Genomic DNA, 18,401 nt, shown 5'->3' with positions numbered 1-18,401 from the left:
GATGATCTGGAAAATTAACCAATTTATGCCTAGTGTCCCATTATTGGAACACTAAGCTTGTCAGAGTTATGTATATCCTACTGCTCAAGGTCATTGCCAAGATCTGGCTTTTCACAAAAAAAATTCTAACCTTGGGCATAAACAGGTTAATTTGTTTCATTCTGGAATTTTTTTTTTAATTTTACAAAGCTAAGATTTGGAAACAATTGACTTTAAAAAGAAAAAATCCTCCCTCACCAGTTCATTTAACAAACTAAAGTCATTAACTATGGCACTTGCTATTTCAGGATCCAATTCCTAAATTAACAGATAATTAAGGCTTTAGAATTGTGTTGCCTTCTAATTAGACACTAGAACACTGGCCAATGTTAATTAGTATTTCTTCTCCCTCCAAGTCCCCTCTTGAGCCTTTACTAATGGTATTAATTTCTCTTGCCCTAAAAAGTCCTGACTGTTCTCGCCCTAGAAAGTCTGGATTGTTTCACTAACTTTATAATATAGTTTGCAACTTTGTGGCTGCCCCTGAGGCTAATTAATAAGACCCAGAAACCTATCTGACTTTGAATGTTTCTGATAAATTACCATGAAACCAAATGGCACCATAATTCAAGCTGGAATTGTAACACCTAAGTACTGATGTCAGGGATTGAAAATAAAACATTAAAAAGCCAGATTGCCGGGTATGGTGGCTCACACCTGTAATCCCAGCACTTGGGAGGCCAAGGCGGGTGGATCATGAGGTCAGGAGATCGAGACCATCCTGGCTAACACGGTGAAACCCCATCTCTACTAAAAATGCAAAAAAAATTAGCCAGGTGTGGTGGCGGGTGCCTGTCATCCCAGCTACTCAGGAGGCTGAGTCAGGAGAATGGCGTGAACCCGGGAGGTAGAGCTTGCAGTGGGCTGAGATTGCACCACTGCACTCCAGTCTGGGCGACAGAGTGAGACTCCGTCTCAAAAAAAAAAAAAAAAAAAAAAAGCCAGATCACTTACAAATATATATCAGCAACTATATTTTTTCAGAGTTTTATTAAGCATTAGCTGTTTTCTCAGTATTATCATGCTTTGCCACAAATTAAAAAAACCTATAGCATGTGGCCTTATAGAAGGTCTGGGAAGTAATTAAGATTTGGCAGCGGCAACCAGCACATCCGGAGAAGAGTTCTGGCTGCAGACTGGAAGGCGAAGGGGCATCAAGACTTAACACTAAGGGCCGAGCGCAGTGGCTCGCGCCTGTAATCCTAGCACTTTGGGAGGCTGAAGTAGGATAACTGCTTGAACCCGGGAGGCGGAGGTTGCAATGGGCAGATCGCTTGAGGTCAGAAGTTCAAAAGCAGACTCACCAACATGGTGAAACCCCATCTCTACTAAAAATAGAAAAAAAATTAGCCAGGCCTGGTGGCGGGAGCCTGTAATCCCAACTACATGGGAGGTGTGGGCAGGAGAATTGCTTGAACACGGGAGGCGGATGTTGCAGTGAGCCGAGATGGTGTCACTGCACTCCAGCCTGGATGACAGAGCAAGACTCTGTCTCGGAAGAAAAAAAAAAAAAAGCTAAGGCTAAAGGGATGGAGAGATGGATGGAAAACAGGAAATCCCCAGTATTGGACAGAAATAAAGAACAATTACCAAAACACAATAAAACAAAACCAAAAAAACTCCACAAAAACTACAACATGGAAAACTCAGAATCTACGAAAACTTGGCTAGAAAAGAGCTGGAGAAAAGATAAGACCTAAGACTGTGATTGAGAAAAATTGTATGATGTTCCCCATTTCTTCCCACTGAAGTATTGATCTGGTACCAATCTAGTACCAATCTGGTACAAGCACACTGGGTACAAAGTAAACTTCCCTTGCCGGGCGCCGTGGCTCAGGCCTGTAATCCCAGCACTTTGGGAGGCCGAGGTGGGCGGATCACGAGGTCAGGAGATCGAGATCATCCTGGCTAACTCGGTGAAACCCCGTCTCTTCTAAAAATACAAAAAATTAGCCAGGCGTGGTGGCACGCGCCTGTAGTCCCAGCTACTTGGAAGGCTGAGGCAGGAGAATGGCGTGAACCCGGGAGGCGGAGCTTGCAGTGAGCGGAGATCGCACCACTGCACTCCAGCCTGGGTGACAGAGTGAGACTCCATCTCAAAAAAAAAAAGAAACTTCCCAAATCCTTTGGGACTCTGGTGCTGCAGCACTGACTGCAGAGAAGTGCTGACTACCTGATCCAGCAAGAAAAGTACAGAATGAAAAGAACAGGAGTGCTTAAAAGGACACCAAATTAATCTTGATGAAAACATTATGGGGCTGTGCACACCAGAGAAGTTGAGTCTAGAGTCCCTGACTTTTCCAGTGAGATAGTCAGGACCAAGCATGGACATTCTGTGTAAACAATCAGAAAACTACTGATTTTACTTGAATACTTTTTTTTTTTTTTTGAGACGGAGTTTCGCTCTTATTGCCCAGGCTGGAGTACAATGGCAGGATCTCGGCTCACCGCAACCTCCGCCTCCCAGGTTCAAGCGATTCTCCTGCCTCAGCCTTCCCAAGTAGCTGGGATTACAGGCATGCGCCACCATGCCCGGCTAATTTTGTATTTTTTTAGTAGAGACGGGGTTTCTCCATGTTGGTCAGGCTGGTCTCGAACTCCCAACCTCAGGTGATCCACCCGTCTTGGCCTCCCAAAGTGCTGGGATTACAGGCATGAGCCACCACGCCTGGCCGAATACTTGTTATTTTTCAAACTCATAAGTACTCCTTTGCTGTTAAAGGAAATAACTGGCAAAGAGATCTCTAACACCTTTATTAATGTCTTTATTTTATATATAGCTCTCCAAAAAAAGACAGGAAGTGGCATTTAACTCCAGCTATTAAAAAATGCACAAACATGCTGCACAAGTTGACTACATGGCATTCTCTTAACTATTCTAAATCTTGGGCTTTTTAAATAATTTTGTGATTCTGAAAATTTTATTACTTTATATCTAACAATCTCAGGAGATCGCTTACTTTAATAATCCTTTTTCCACAAATGAATGCTGATATTCAGAAAGTTGGGACACCCTATGAGAAACACAGGTCTGTTACCTAAGCTTCCTCTCCATCCTCATCTCTTAAGTCTCCACTCTGCTCCAGCCATACTTACTTCCTTTGTATGCTGGAATTATACTATTTGCCAAGGGAGAGGCTCTATCTAATTTACCTATGTATTCCTACCACCTAGAAGAAACAGTAAATAGACAAAAATCACACATAGATTTAAGCTCAGTAATCTGTTTACAGTTGATTCCATATTGTAAGTTCAGCCATCATAAACTTTAGTTGAGAGTATTGCAAGCAGACATATATATCCCCTGAATATAATTTATCAGAACAGAATGACCCCAATCAACAAGTGAAACCATATGCTGGTGTCCAGAGGGTCTAACCAGGTAAACAGCTGTCCTTACAGATCACGCCACAACAAAGGCAGTGTGAGTGCCACAAAATTCAGCACAATTGCTGACTACTCTCAAAACGACAAAAGATGGAAGCACCGAAGTATAAGAAAATGTTATCATTAGACTTTTTTAGAGGCTTGGAAAAAAGGACTTAAAACTTTACAAATAAAAAAGAGGTATTAATCCCAGAGAAAAAAGCTACAATTACCAAGAACCACACTTCCACCAAAATTTAGGAGGGAACCTAACAGTAAGTTATTTAAAATTACAATATCTCCTACTCCCAAAAAAGGAATGATAATATAACTAAATAACTCACATTCTCAATGAACTGGGTATTAGAGAGCATAAGGAAGTCATTGAAGACATTATGCAGGCGACAATCTGTGGCTTTGGTTTCCCGAATTAGTCCGTCCACTTGTTTCTTGATTTCATGGGTCCTAGAGATAGTTTGCTGTGAGAATTCCTGTAGAAACTGTAGTAGCTATTTTAAAAAATAAACATACAGTAGTATCAATGTTACATGTAACTATTCTGCATGTCACATCAAAAAAGAACCCATTTCCTTTCACCTTTGAGTGTTAGAATGTGAAAGAAATGCTTTTTTTTTTTTTGAGAGAGTTTCACTCTGTTGCCTGGGCTGGAGTACAATGGCGCCATCTCGGCTCACTGCACCTCCCGCGTTCAAGCGATTCTCCTGCCTCAGCCTCCCGAGTAGCTGGAATTACAGGTGCCCGCCACAACGCCCAACTAATTTTGTGTATTTTTAGTAGAGACGGGGTTTCACCATGTTGGCCAGGCTGGTCTCGAACTCCTGACCTCGTGATTCGCCCACCTCGGCCTCCCAAAGTGCTAGGATTACAGGTGTGAGCCACTGTGCCCGGCTGGAATGCTGGTTTGACAAGTACTAAAACCAAGTGACATTGGAAAACACTAAGAAAGCTCATCAAAAGAGTGGCAGTGAGCTAATGGACACCTATCTCGTTTCTGGAAAAATTTAAAATCCCTTTTTGGCACTGGGTATGGTGGCTCACGCTTGTAATCCAATACTTTGGGAGGCTGAGGCAGGGTTATCGCTAGAGTCCAGGAGTTGCAGACCAGTCTGGGCAACATAGCAAGACCCCCATCTCTACTAAAATTAAATAAATAAACAAATCAGACAGGTGTGGTGGACGCCTATAGTCCCAGCTTCTCAGGACGCTGAGGTGAGAGGATCACCTGAACCCCAGAGGATTCAGTGAGCCAAGATCAAGCCACTTGCACTCCAGCCTGGGCGACAGGGCAAAACCCTGTCTCCTTTTAAAAGTCCTCTTTGGTTGTCAATCTACAGAGATCACAGACCAAGGGTTAGCTAATCAACCACCACTCTTATTCAAAAATCCTATTCATTTGGGACTCCAACAGTTCTGAGCTTTTTGGGCCCCCGATTTGAAAAATCCCATTAAAGGATATCCACATACTGGCTTGTTTCCCACCCCATTTAGTCCAGGTCCCAACAGGAATCGCCTCCCTAGTGCCCGAGCAATCCCTCAGTGTGGCGGAAACGGATCTCCCCTCCGGATGGAGCTGAGCCAGAAACCCCATGAAGGGAACGTCGCGTCTGGGCCACGGTCAGTGTCTGCCCCTCTCCCTGGTGGCCGGGGACTGCCAGGGTGGCATTCTCGGGGGCTAAACGGGGCGTGTGTTCCTAAGAGGGCAGGCAACGGGACGGGCCAGGTGCAGGGGCAGTCGCGGTCCGGCCCTCCTGCGCGCAAGCCAAGCGTCACCCCTGCCGCTCTCGCGTCCCCGGGGCCCGCCTCTCACGCCCGCGTCGGCCGCCAGCGACCAGCTCTGGCTGCTCCTGCGGATCTCCTCCACCGACCACGGCCGCTCCCACACGGGCTCCGACGCTGGCGCCAGCTCCTGGTCGGGGGTCGTCCGGTTCATCTGCAGCGAAAAAAACGAGAAGAGAAGCTGAGCCTGAGGGCGGCAGGGACGGCGGCCCCAGCCCAGGCCGGCCTCTCTCCTGCCCGGCGCCCTCACCATCCTAGCCGCCCGGCTCGGTGGGCTCCGAAGCTGCCAGCACACGCCGAGGACTGCAGAGCCCCGGAAGCCTAGCCCCAGCCAAGCTGCCCGGGGCGTGACCGGCCTCACGTGACCTGATGTCACGTGACAGAACCCGCACGTGATCCGACCTGCCATGCTGAGGGGAGGAAGCTGCGGAAGTGGACTGGGACTGGAGTTTGGGGTTCTACCCTAGGTTGGGGCGGAGGAAGCTGGAGGATAGGGGCTGACGCCAGGAACGCTGCAGAGGCGGGTTGGCCGGGTGGCGCTGCCCCCCAAGGCCCGAGGCAGCGGCGCGGGATCGGCCACAGCACCGGCCGCCAGTTCGGCGGGTCTGGAAAGAGGGGACCTCAAGCAGCCAGTGGAGCAACCAGCCTGGGAGCCTTCGACGTAGGCGCTGTGGGCGAAGGAAAAGGCCTGGCCTGCTGCCTCTTCTCTTGCAGCAAAATCCGCTGCTGTGAAGGAGCTGGTAGGCGGACGCTCTGTAGATAGAGAATCCCTGATCTGCCTGGGCATCATCTTGCTCTTTATGACCTGCTTGGCTGCCACTGTGTAGGGCCTGCTTAAAGTCCTTTGCACTCTCAGCATTGCCCTCAAGTTCAAGGACAAGCTTCTCATTATGGCAGGCATAAAACTCTTTATAATTCGTCCTCCACTCTCCCAGCTCAGGGCTCCAGCTGTTGTCTCACACTTCCTTGAAGTTCCCTCTGCTGAGTCGCCCTTGTGCCTGACCAACTTACTTACTAAAATAAAAATCCCAATTTCTTTCCAGTCATGTGTGCCCAAGGGCGAGTTATTTAACTTTTCTGAGCTTTCCTCAGTAAAACGAAGCTACATATCTTGCAAGGATGTGATATTAAAGTTATGATATTGTAAAACAGGTGCCACGGTGCTTGGCCTAGGGTGAGCCTTCAACCTAGAACATACCACTGTCCCCATGCACCTTGCTCACACACCCAATCCCAGACTTTTCTTTTGTAGTCACCTCAGTTATCACCTCATTAAATAACCTGATTATCCCAAGTACAGCTTAAGTGACTTAAGTTATTTTCGATGGCTAGCGGAAGGGTCTCCACTACATTGGAGAGCTGGGGTGGTCTGGAGTTCCACGGTGTGGTGGGCCAGAGGCCACCTCTCCTGCGGTCTCTTAGTGTCTCGCTGGCGGGGTTCGGCCCGAGCTAGATAGACACAGCCCTTGGCGGATTTAAACAACCTAAACATTAAACAATACAGCTGCCTCAAATCTTTGGGAATTTCGGAATGACTGACACTGCCAAAGCTGTTCCAAATTTTGAAGAGATGTTTGCTAGTAGATTCGCAGAAGATGACAAGGAGTATCAGGAATACTTGAAACGCCCTCCTATGTGCTCGTTTCTAAAATTCTAGAGGTTAATACAATCAGCTCATGAATGCACAGCTATGCTTCTTGTGATAGATTGTACATAACATCAGCAGTTGAAAGGTAAAACAATTGCTTTTTTTTTTTTTTGCTTTTGTTACGTGACTATGGTACTTTGTGATTCCTTACTCTATAATGAGAATGAGTCGCTCCACATTTATTTGGATCTCTTTTTAGAGGGAAATCAGTAATAAAGCTGTAAAATAAGGAAGGAAAAAAGTTGTTTTTTATGTATTTATCCTAAGGTATTACATTGTATTGTAATCATTTAAATATCAGTCTCTCCTTTAATAATAGCTAACATTTATCAAGTGTTCAGTATTTACCATTTTATACATTGTTCATTTAATTCACACAATGACTATGAGGGAGGGAATATTATTTCCAAATTATAGTTGAGGAAACTGAGGTACAGAAAGGAGAAGTAACTTACTTATGATTAGGTAACCAGGAAAGAGGCAGACCCGAGAACACACACTGTGAGCCAATATGTTACAGTAACCTATAACAGTGTTAACACTAAGGCTGGGCTGGCATGGTGGCTCACACCTGTAATCCCAGCACTGTGGGAGGCCAAGGCGGTTCGAGACCAGCCTGGGAAACATGGTGAAACCCCATATCTACAAAAAAAAAAATTAACTGGACATGGCGGCATAGATCTGTAGTTTGAGCTACTCAGGAGAATGAGGTGGAATGATTGCTTGAGCCCCTGAGACCAAGGTTGCAGTCAGCCGAGATTGCACCACTCCACTCCAGCCTGGAAGAAGACTAAGACTGCTGTCTGCAAAAACAGTCTTAGAGTCTTAAGGGGACTTCATTTTTAAGTCACCATCTACCAACCTCTTCCATTTCCCCCACATTGATTAAAACACACACACGTGCGTGCGCGCACGCACACACACACATACACACTTTAGAACTTGGAACTTGGTTGGTAAAATTGAGGCGAGCCAATTACCAAACTTGGATTTTATGTAACACCATCATGGGTAACTTCAGTGGCCACGTACTTAACACCCTTAATCTACGTCCCACACCCTGGAATTTATCACTGAAACATTGTGACTCCAAAATCTGAACTTCTCCTGAATAGAGTAGCCCATTTATTTATTTATTTGTTTGTTTGGAGACAGAGTCTTACTCTGACACCCAGGCTAGAGTGCAGTGGCATGATCTTGGCTCACTGCAACCTCCACCTCCTGGGTTCAAGTGACTCTCGTGCCTCAGCTTCCCAAGTAGCTAGGATTACAGGCGTGTGCCACCATGCCCAGCTAATTTTTGTATTTTTAGTGGAGACAGGGTTTTGCCATATTGGCCAGGCTGGTCTTAAACTCCAGACTTCAGGTGATCCACCTGCCTCGCCCTCCCAAAGTTCTCCAATTACAGGCGTGAGCCACAATGCCTGGCCACAAACTGTTTTTCAAAACAGTACAGTATAGTGAGTAAAAGCACTAGCTTATGCAACAGGTTGGTTTTGTGTGCTGCAGCTAACCCCAAAGTTGTAAGGATTAAATTAGATAATAAAGTGCTTTTAGTAACATGCCTGGCACAGTTCATTGATTCAAACATTGAACAAAATTTTTTTTTAGTTATACATACTACTGTGTACCTTTGGAAAAATTAGAACTTAACAGATGAGGCTAAGTTTGAGCCTTCCAGTACTTTCCTTCTCTGCATACTCTTCAGAGGAAACTAGGATCATGCTCTGGGAGCATGTCTTTCCACGTCTTTTTCTTTGCTTTTATAAATATATCTGTTTCCATAGAAATGCTTGTATGTAGAGGGGGCACGGTATCGTGCTGGATTTGTTATTGGAACTTTTTTGCTTGACCTACCTTGGATGGCTCTCTAATTGTTACAGCTTTTACCTTTTAACTATTACTCAGTATTCTTACTAAGGTAAGACTATACTGATTTTGTTTATATTTCTCTAGTAATAGGCCAGGCGTGGTGGCTCATGCCTATAATCCCAGCACTTTGGGAAGCCAAGGCAGGTTGATCACCTGAGGTAAAGAGTTTGAGACCAGCCTGGCCAACATGGTGAAATCCAATCTCTACCAAATATAAAAATTAGCCAGGCATGATGGCAGGTGCCTGTAATCCCAGCTACTCGGGAGGCTGAGGCAGGAGAATTGCTAGAACCCAGAAGGCGGAGGTTACAGTGAGGCGAGATCACCCCATTGCACTGCAGCCTGGGCAACAAGAACAAAATTCCTCAAAAATAAAAAAAGTAAATAAATAAATAAAAATATTTCTCTAGTAACAGACAATTTTTATATCTTAATATTTTGCTTTTTATATTCTTGTGGTTACATTCTTATTAAAGAATGCATTTTTATTTAGATTTGAAGTAAATCTTGTGTATTATTTGTTCCAGCACATCTTTTGCTTTATAACTTACTGCATCATGATTATGATTATTATTTTAAACAGCTGTTACGATTTTGAAGGAGCAGCCTAAAGGCTAAGTGGCAGTATCTCTTCTTTAGCTTAATAACTAGTAGTTCTAATTTGCTATTTTATACTCTTAGCACATCACACAAGTGAGTGATGAGGAAGAGGATGATGATGGCTGTGACCTTTTTGCTGACTCTGAGAAGGAGGAGAAAGATATTGAGGACATTGAAGAAAATACTAGAACTGTAAGGAAGGCTGTAGTTGCTATCACTTGGCAGGGTTTTAGAACCAATGACTTTTTTTATTTTTTATTGTGACTTACTTTGAACATCTCTCATTTTGGCATATTTGTCATTTCATTTACACTTTGGAAAATAATGGCAAGCATCTCAAATTGCCTCACAAGTACCACTTTCTTGTCCAGATGTTATGATTTTATGAGTCAGATCATTCAGAATATGTCTGGTTCCAGAGTTTGAAGACCGTAGTGCTCCTGTCTCTCTGCCCATGACCTTTTTCTTATTTTCTTATTCAGATTTTTAAGTATTAAAGTCAAGTATTAAAAAAAATAAGGAAATAAAGAGCATCTCCCTTTGAAGGAACATTTTATGAGTCCTATTCCTTGGGTGAGCTGTATAGGGTACATATGTTTAAGTTCATTTAATTAAACTCAGTTTTCTCCTCAGTTCAATTTCTTTGCTCTTGTATACATAATGTTGTTAGATGTCCAAAGTGAAGTGTACTAGTTTGTTACAAAAAAGAGATTCTTTTGATTTCTCCTACTTTAGAAAAGCAGACCTACTTCGTTTGCAGTGAGCTGGCTGCCCGCATCAAGGGGGATGCCGTGGGCGGAGTGGACGAGGAGCCGACAAGTGAGACCCAGCCTCATTGACGGGGAGTAGGGGGGGGTAGTGCAGAGCCCTCTGCTGGCTTCACCAAAGGTGGATTTCCCTTTTTATTAGTAATTACTACAGCAGAAGAGGCTTAAATTGTAGCGCTTATTCCTTTTTTGGTTAATGAGCTCCTTTAGATAACTGAACACTGTGGACTCACAAGAAAAATGTACATGTACACATGTAGATAACACTTTACATATAATTTCAGGAGATTAATGGAAACTCCAGAGAACCATGGGCAACAGCTTAAGAATTCCTGGCTGAATATTTACTCCTATATTTTGAACACATAAGAATGTGCTATATAGCATATTCTAGTTATAACAGGGTAGAAAGATAACATAATAATTCTTTCAACAAATACAATCCTGTTATGCACATGAGCCTGGGATGAAAGCAGAAGCCTTCTACCTTACAAAGAGACTCTTGAGTGCCCACTGTGGGCAGGACAGGGGGTTTAGTGCAGCTGAGATGAAAGGCAGATGTCTTGCTCTTAGCTGTGAGTTATGAGGATGACAGACGTGGAAAGAACCAGGATGTGTATACTGAGGGAGGACTTAGTACTATTAAAACTGTGAACTGTTCTTCAAGCCTTACCCTCAGGAGAAGCAAAACTTCGGAAGACACTCGAGAAGAAGGAAAGGAGAACTCCTTCGGATGGTGGGCCTTTTCCCTGAATTCTGTTATTTTAGGAGCCTTTGACTCGGGAATGTTGCTTATATAATTCATGAAGTACTGCTTTACATGCTGTTTTCCTTCTGACAAATGGGTCTGTCTCCATTTACTTTTCTAAAGCCTCTGGGCTGGGCGCGGTGGCTCACGCCTGTAATCCCAGCACTTTGGGAGGCCGAGGTGGGTGGATCATAAGGTCAGGAGTTTAAGACCAGCCTGGCCAACATAGTGAAACCCCATTTCTACTAAAAATACAAAAAATTAGCTTGGCATGGTGGTGGGTGCCTGTAGTACCAGCTACTTGGGAGGCTGAGGCAGGAGAATCGCTCGAACCCGGGAGGCAGAGGTTGCAGTGAGCCTTGATCGTGCCACTGCATTCCAGCACCGGTGACAGTGCAAGACTCCGTCTCAAAAACAAACAAACAAAAGCCTTGGAAGGCATGTTTTGGGGTGCTGGGAGGATATGTGGGTGTGGAGTAAAAATTCCTGTAGAGATTTGATTTATTAGATTTTACAGCAATCATTTCTTGTCTTTCTAGAATTCTTTAGAAATATAGAAACTTAGGGATCTCTACCATTTGTTTTCAATAAAGGATACACCAGGCCTTTTCCTATTAAACAGCCATGTCCATTACATTCCACGTGTCCCTGTGTCAGTTTGCAGATCCCTTTGTTTATTCTGCCCTTCCTTCCCCCAGATTCGTGGGGGAATGGGTCTTGAATGTGGCATCTGACCCGAATGCTTGCTTCAGAGTAAATCTAGATCCAGGGTGCTGGCCTAGAGAATGAATGCTGTCTGCCGCAGACATGGACAGACTTGAGAGTGGAGGCCCAGAGAGTCTTTTGAGGGTGTCAGTGGACTGTGCCAGGGGGTTAGTGTGAAATTCATCAGACTGCCTCACACTTTGATAAAGAGGGCCAGATAAACTCCATGCCAGTTTGGAGACACAGCAGATGCCAACCCGGGAATTTGAGTTCTGGCCCCATCTTTAATACTCCCTGCAAAACATTGCTTTCTGTTTGCTAGATGAAGAGGATAACTTATTCGCACCCCCCAAGCTGACCGACGAGGACTTCTCGCCATTTGGCTCTGGAGGTGGCCTGTTCAGTGGGGGCAAGGGGCTCTTTGATGATGAGGATGAGGAGGTGAGTCCATGGCACCCAGCAACACTCCCTGCAGCTAGCTGTGTCAGGGGTCCACAGGGAAGAAATAGGCTTTGCTTGTTTAGTGGGGAAAAAACAGTTTCTCAGTTGGAAGTTGCTTCTATTTTCATATTTTGGGACATTTTGAACTAAGAATCACAGAGTGAGAAATGCCGTATCCTTCTATGCTTTGTTAGGTGAGGAGAAGATGTGCACGTGTTAATGTGAATAATTTACTAGGTGATTGTTTCTTGCCTTATCTGTTGTCTTCCACGTTTGTTTTTAATTCCTGGACAGGCCTAAATTATTTTAGGGTCTGATTTTGCCATAGTTATCACTTTGCAACTGATTTTCTGTCAGAGTAGTAAATATGTAGCTTTAAATCTTGTAGGTTATTTTTCCTTAGGAATCCTCAAATGCAGCTGTGCTTTCTCCTGGTTTTTTGAATTCTTTGTCATATACCTTATTTCAACCAGAGTGACCTCTTCACGGAAGCCCCCCAGGATTGGCAAGCTGGAGCCTCTGTTAAGGAGGGTAAGCTGGGGTTGGGCAGCTGTGTCTCTGTGTGCAGAGTTCCAAAACTGTCTTCCTCACTAGGAGATGGAACAAGGTTGTTCCCAAGCCTTGTTTCTGTGTTAAGCAGGAAGCTATTGTTTTTACTGTGGTCCAGTTGAAAGTAATTCATCTTCACTAATTCATGTCTTGGAAAACACAGTACCATCTGTAAACCCATACCACAGTCTTGCCTCTTTCTTAGGAGAGAACTCATAAAAAGTCAAACAAGAAAAGTACCCTAGAGCACTGTTGAGGATGATTTTCATTGAATGAAGTTTAATTTAAAGAAACATTTTTAACATTCTGTATATAAGTTGGAGACCAGTAATTCCCCAACCCAGTGTGCATTAAAATCATCTGTGCAGGTTTTGTTTTTGTTTTTGTTTTTGTATTTTTAGTAGAGACGGTGTTTCACCGTGTTGGACAGTTGGACAGGCTGGTCTTAAACTCCTATCCTCAAGTGATCACCCGCCTAGGCCTGGCAAAATGCTAGGAATACAGGCATGAGCCACCGCACCTGTCCCATTGGTGCAGTTTTTAAAAAACACAAATATAAATATGTTTTTTAACCTACAAATGTTACTCCATAGGTTTGTGGCAGTTCTTGGGACTTGGGAATTAGTGATTCTAAGTGCCGAGTCTCCCGGGCACAGGCATCAGAGCTGGGCCTTGGAGGCCGCTCCTTGTGCGTGCTGTGCGGGCTGCTAGCCTGGCTCTCCTCTGCTTTCTGCTGCCCACGTTTTGGCATCAGTGACTTGCTTGGTTTCCCCCTTTGCTCTTATGTCTTTATTTTTTACTGATGACTCACATGTTTTTGCGGTTCTTTTTCACTCGTTCATTCTCATCCAACTGGAATGGGTAAAGGCGGAATTGTTTGGGGGAGCCCTGGTCATGCTGTCCCTGCCTCTGCTGTGCTCACCTCCTCCCTTGGTGTCCCCCAGCTGACCCACTGCTGTGGCTTGATGACGGTCAGCATGCTCTTCCATTGGAGTCACAGCTCAGATTGTATCAATCCCCAAAAAAGTCCTGACATTGGTAGAGAAGAAAATACCAAAGCATTTTAAAATGGCTTGTTCAGGAAAAAGTAGTTTCAAAATGTCTGGTACTAGCTGTGTGTTACATTGCACATATTTCAGGAATAAAATAGCAAGGAAAGTTATTTCCCTTGTAAAAATGGTTGCCCCTTGCTTTCTCATTCTAGAGTCTTCATCATCCAAACCTGGAAAGAAAATCCCAGCAGGAGCTGTTTCTGTATTTTTAGGTAACATAACTTAGGTTTGTTTTCTAAAAACTACACAAATACTGTTTTTTCCATTTCAAAATTATCATCTTCTAAAGCCTGGCTGGAGATGAGGAAGTACCTGGGAGCTTCAAAGGGCTTTGAGCATCTTATAGAAAGAGCTCATTTACTGATATTAGCTCTTATTCTCCTAGAGCTCAGTGGCCTTGGACTTTTTTGTGTTTGAGTGACCTGGTGATTCTCCGTTGTGAGATGTTCTGTAGCAGTAATGGATGGAGGCTATTGGGCCCTCTTAATGCATTTTGTGGATTAACTGAAATGAAAAGTTTTTGGTGGGTGATAATTTTTTTCTGTAAATTCAACCGGCCCACACTGGCTCACAGCTGTGTCTGTCTTGTCCCTTCACTCACAGGAGACACGGATGTGCTGCCTCCGTTCCATCAATGAAGGAGCCACAGAAGCCTGAGCAGCCCACTCCAAGGAAAAGCCCCTACCTTCCCCCTCCCACTGGCCTCTTTGATGATGATGATGGTGATGATGATGACGACTTTTTCTCGACACCCCACAGCTAGCCTTCCAAAACAGGTATGTGTTCCTGCCTCTGTGTCTAGGACTTCAGCCAGAAAGAGAATGTTGCCTAAATGGAAGATAAGCTCACCTAGTTCTGTATCTCTTATAGTACCAGAATCCCTTCTCCAGCATTCCTGTCATTGAGCTGTTGTGTCTGTACTTACATAGGTGTGGTGCCTGGGAGGTCTGTTTTATGACCCAATCTTTTCTGCTCTGTAAGCTAATTACTATGATTATTTTCCTTATAGAGGGCTCAAGTCTTTATCCCTATAATTTTTGCTTAATTCACAGTTCTGACCTTTGGAATTATAAAGTTTTAATCATCCTTTCTTCCAGCCGACCTTAGTCAATTACATGAGCAGCATTTTGTGTGCTGGCCAGTTATTTCCCGGCTTCTCTTCTCTCTACCAAAAAGCTCAGGTGGCCTTGGTCTTTCTTCACATTATGGGGTTTTCATCCGCTTGGCCACTCCTTTCTTTTTGGCATTCTCCTTTCTTTTTCCTCTTAAATGTAAGTCCTGTGTTCCTGAAGTCATTCCTGTAAATCATTTGTTTTTAAATGTGCAGATGAATCTCCCAGAGGCTTTTGTCAAAATGAAGATTCTGATTCAGTAGGTCCAGGGTGGGGCCTGAGAATTTACATTTCCAGCAAGCTTCATGGTCTGTAGATCACACCTGGAATAGCAAGACTTAGATCCATTGACTGGTCTTCCAGAAAAGAAAGGTAGATCCCTAGATCCCTAAGTTGCACATGATTTTCAGCAACTTGAAAAAATAAAAAAGGATGATATAGGAATAGATGGAATCAGAATTCATTTAGAAGCAGACTGTCTGGACTTACTGTCCTTTTCCAGTGTTAGGTGTAGAAAGCAAGGATGGAAGCCGAAGTGCGAGGGAAAACAATAGCCTAGTTAATCTAGAAAGAGTGCAAACGGATGCAGAATTCGTGCAGGTCTCGGTGAAGATGACAGTGAATGAAGGTAGTAGTGCTTTTTATAGCTCCACAGGGCTCTCACTTAGTGGATATCTTTGAGAACTGATTTAGAATCACTAGTAAATTGATGCTGCTTTCTTTGACAACTCCTAGTCTCTTCGGACATTCATGAGTCAGTGACCTCATTTCAGCAACACATGCCCCATTTGGTACAGCAGTGCTTACTGTGGTGAAAATATTCATCAGTAGAGTAAGCTATGGCCGTTCTATTCAGTGGAATATTGTGCGACTGTTAAAATGAATGGGGTCTATGCTTGTTGACTTGGGAATGTTTTATAGGTACATTAAGTGGAAAATACAAATGGTAAGACACATTGTTCAAATTACCTTCTTATTTATAGCCTTATTTGTAAATAACTAGTGTTAATTCATTAGTACATCCTTTGGGGGAATTGGAAGCATGTATGCTGAACTGTTTCCAATGTCCATGTTGTTCGAGTAGGCAGGTGGAATTATGAGGGAATTTCATTATTTGCTTTTATCTGCTTTTGTACAGTTTGATTTTTTTTTTTTTTTTTTTTGAGATGGAGTCTTGCTCTGTCACCCAGGGTGGAGTGCAGTGGCGGATCTCGGCTCACTGCAACCTCCGTCTCCTGGGTTCAACCAATTCTCCTACCTCAGCCTCCCGAGTAGCTGGGATTACAGGCGCCTGCCACCACACCCAGCTAATTTTTGCATTTTTACTAGAGATGGGGTTTCACCACGTTGGCCAGTGTGGTCTCAAACTCCTGACCTCACGTGATCCACCCGCCTTGGCCTCCCGAAGTGCTGGGATTACAGGTGTGAGCCACTGTGCCCAGCCCAGTTTGATTTTTTTAAAGCAGGAGCCCAGCCTTCATTTCTCAGATTCCTTCGATGATTGACTTGGTGTTCCTCTTAAGTGATCTTTCTTCCTCTAGATCTCTCTTCACCTTTTAAGTTAGTCCAAGCTTCTGTAACCACAACAGGAGACTGCTGCTTGGATAAGCATATCAGCTGCATGGTTAAACTATTTGTTCTGTCTTTCAACTGAGCTGTCAATACACTCTTTGAAAAATTTGAAGGGAAGAGTATAGTTCCACTTACTATTTCTTTATAAGTAACCAAGAAACAACGTAACTTTCATATTAATCTTCGGGAGGGAAGGATTTTTTATTCTATGAATTTTGTGGTAGGATTTTTTGTGGTAGGATTTCTGGCCTTATTGTAATTTTATGCCTTGGTATTTAAAGGCAAAGTCCAATCCACTGCTGATATCTTTGGTGACGAAGAAGGAGATCTGTTCAAAGAAAAAGCCGTAGCATTGCCAGAAGCCACTGTGAGTCAGACAGATGAAAATAAAGCAAGAGCAGAAAAAAAGGTGAGCAGGAGGGAAGACTTAACGCAGGAGCATTGATCTGCAGCATTTTAATAATTCATCCGGAACGCAGAGGGAAGTACTGTTCCCTTTCACGTTCATATTGAAGAACTTCAAACAGAAAGTGGAAAGAACATTGCAGTGAACACCCAAATAACTGCCACCCAGATTGATCAGTTCTTAGGGTTTTGGCAAACACTTTATGGATGTAAACCTTGTGACATATCTATTTTTTTCCTGAACTATTTGCATGTAAGTTGTTTGAACTGTTTGCTGCATGGAACTGTTTCCATGTAGTCATTGTGACATTCTACCCCTAAATATTTCATTAAGCCTCTCTTGAAAAGACTTCCATATAAGCACAATGCCATTATCAACAGCTGTGAGACTAACAGTAATTCTATAGTAGAATCTAATATCTAGTCTGTATTAGAATTGCTCCAGTTGCCCCAGAATGTCTTTGTAAAATCACCCCAACAAATAGAATACAGATTTAAAATTATCTCGCATATAGTTTATATGGTAATTTCCTCTCTTGTCCCCAAAATGCCATTTATAGCAGCGGTCCCCAACCTTTTTGGCATTGGGGACATTAGGAGAGTGCAACTTGCAACCTAGATCCCTCGCATATACAGTTCACAATAGGGTTTTCCCTCCTATGAGAATCTGATGCTGCCACTGATCTGACAGGAGGAGGAGCTCAGGCAGTAATGCTTGCTGCTCACCTCACCTCCTGCTGTGCGGCCTGGCTCCTAACAGGCCATGGGCTGGTCTGCAGCCCAGGGTTGGGGACCCCTGCTTTATAGTATTTTTGTGTATTTTGATTTTTTGTTTGTTTGTTTGTTTTAAGAAACCCAGGATTCAGGCAGTGTGTCTGCATTGCATTTGGTTGTCCTGTCTCTTTGGTCTCCTTAATCTAGTGCAACATCTCCCACATCTTTTTTTTTCTTTTTTTTTTTAACGTCCAGCCACTTGTCTTGTAGAATGTGTCATGTGAATTTGCTTGATTATTTTTCTATGAATAGATTCAGGGTGAGCAGTTTTGGCAAGAATACAAGCAGGCAGGGTTGTGCACTTCCAGTTGGATCACCTCCCAAGATACATCAGGTCCACTGTCTGCCTCATTCAGACACATTTGTCACTTGGTTGCTAGGGTGCCCACCACACTGCTTCATTGGAAAGCTACCCTGTTCTCTTTTGCCATTGCTAAGTTGATCTCTAAAGTGATAGTTGAACACAGTGTGAATACCTGTTCTCTCCCAGCCTTTTACTCAGTGTTTTGAAAATCCACTGATGATCTTTTCCTGAATCAGTTAACCTGTTAGTGGTCATAAACCACTGCTTTTTTAATTCTATATTTCTTATTAGTTGGTATCTTCTGAATAAAGAGTTTCCTCTTCCTCTGCTTCCCTAATTTTTAGTGTTGCTCTGGGATCATGAATTCATTCTTCAGTGTAGATGATAATCCATTACCATCATTCCTCTTCTTCCTTTTTTTCTGAGACAGAGTCTTGCTCTTGGTGGCTAATTTTTGTATTTTTTTGTAGAGACTGGGTTTGACCATGTTGGCCAGACCATCATAGTTTTTGATGCTCAGATTGACCTGCATTTGGCCAGTGTGTGTGTCCCCAGCAGTTTTTAAGCCCTTTTGACTGCTTGACCTTTCACTGCTGTCCTGTACAGCTGGTCCCTCCTCTTTCTACAGTTTGTCTCATCATGTCATGTCC

At 43.7% G+C, this 18,401-nt stretch overlaps 1 protein-coding gene and 1 pseudogene across 28 annotated transcripts in view, besides 1 other annotated feature; one reads left to right on the top strand and one right to left on the bottom strand.

Annotated features, from left to right (window-relative positions):
- WASHC2A (WASH complex subunit 2A) overlaps positions 1-5,507 on the bottom strand; it is a 65,556-nt gene extending 60,049 nt beyond the window's left edge. For all 27 annotated transcript variants that reach the window (NM_001005751.3, NM_001291398.2, XM_017016227.2 and 24 more), the window contains exons 1-3: positions 5,453-5,507; positions 5,234-5,356; positions 3,750-3,914 (exon numbers count right to left, since the gene is read on the bottom strand). In NM_001005751.3, the coding sequence (NP_001005751.1) occupies positions 3,750-3,914; positions 5,234-5,356; positions 5,453-5,455 (291 nt within the window). In that variant the 5' untranslated portion in view covers positions 5,456-5,507. The remainder of the gene's footprint in view (positions 1-3,749; positions 3,915-5,233; positions 5,357-5,452) is intronic.
- Positions 5,658-18,401, top strand: part of FAM21EP (family with sequence similarity 21 member E, pseudogene) — a 46,622-nt pseudogene continuing 33,878 nt past the window's right edge. The window contains exons 1-3 of the transcript NR_038275.2: positions 5,658-6,935; positions 11,865-11,983; positions 14,188-14,360. The product of NR_038275.2 is annotated as a family with sequence similarity 21 member E, pseudogene (transcript). The remainder of the gene's footprint in view (positions 6,936-11,864; positions 11,984-14,187; positions 14,361-18,401) is intronic.
- Positions 5,684-5,833: a silencer, noted in NCBI's record as "silent region_2365". NCBI's record gives its function as "represses an Ori minimal core promoter by ATAC-STARR-seq in GM12878 lymphoblastoid cells {active_cell/tissue: GM12878}" and the evidence as "EXISTENCE:reporter gene assay evidence [ECO:0000049][PMID:35858748]".

This window comes from Homo sapiens, chromosome 10 (genome assembly GCF_000001405.40).
Source record: "Homo sapiens chromosome 10, GRCh38.p14 Primary Assembly".
In the NCBI taxonomy this organism is placed as follows: domain Eukaryota; kingdom Metazoa; phylum Chordata; class Mammalia; order Primates; family Hominidae; genus Homo; species Homo sapiens.
This window is presented reverse-complemented; position numbering and strand designations above follow the sequence as displayed.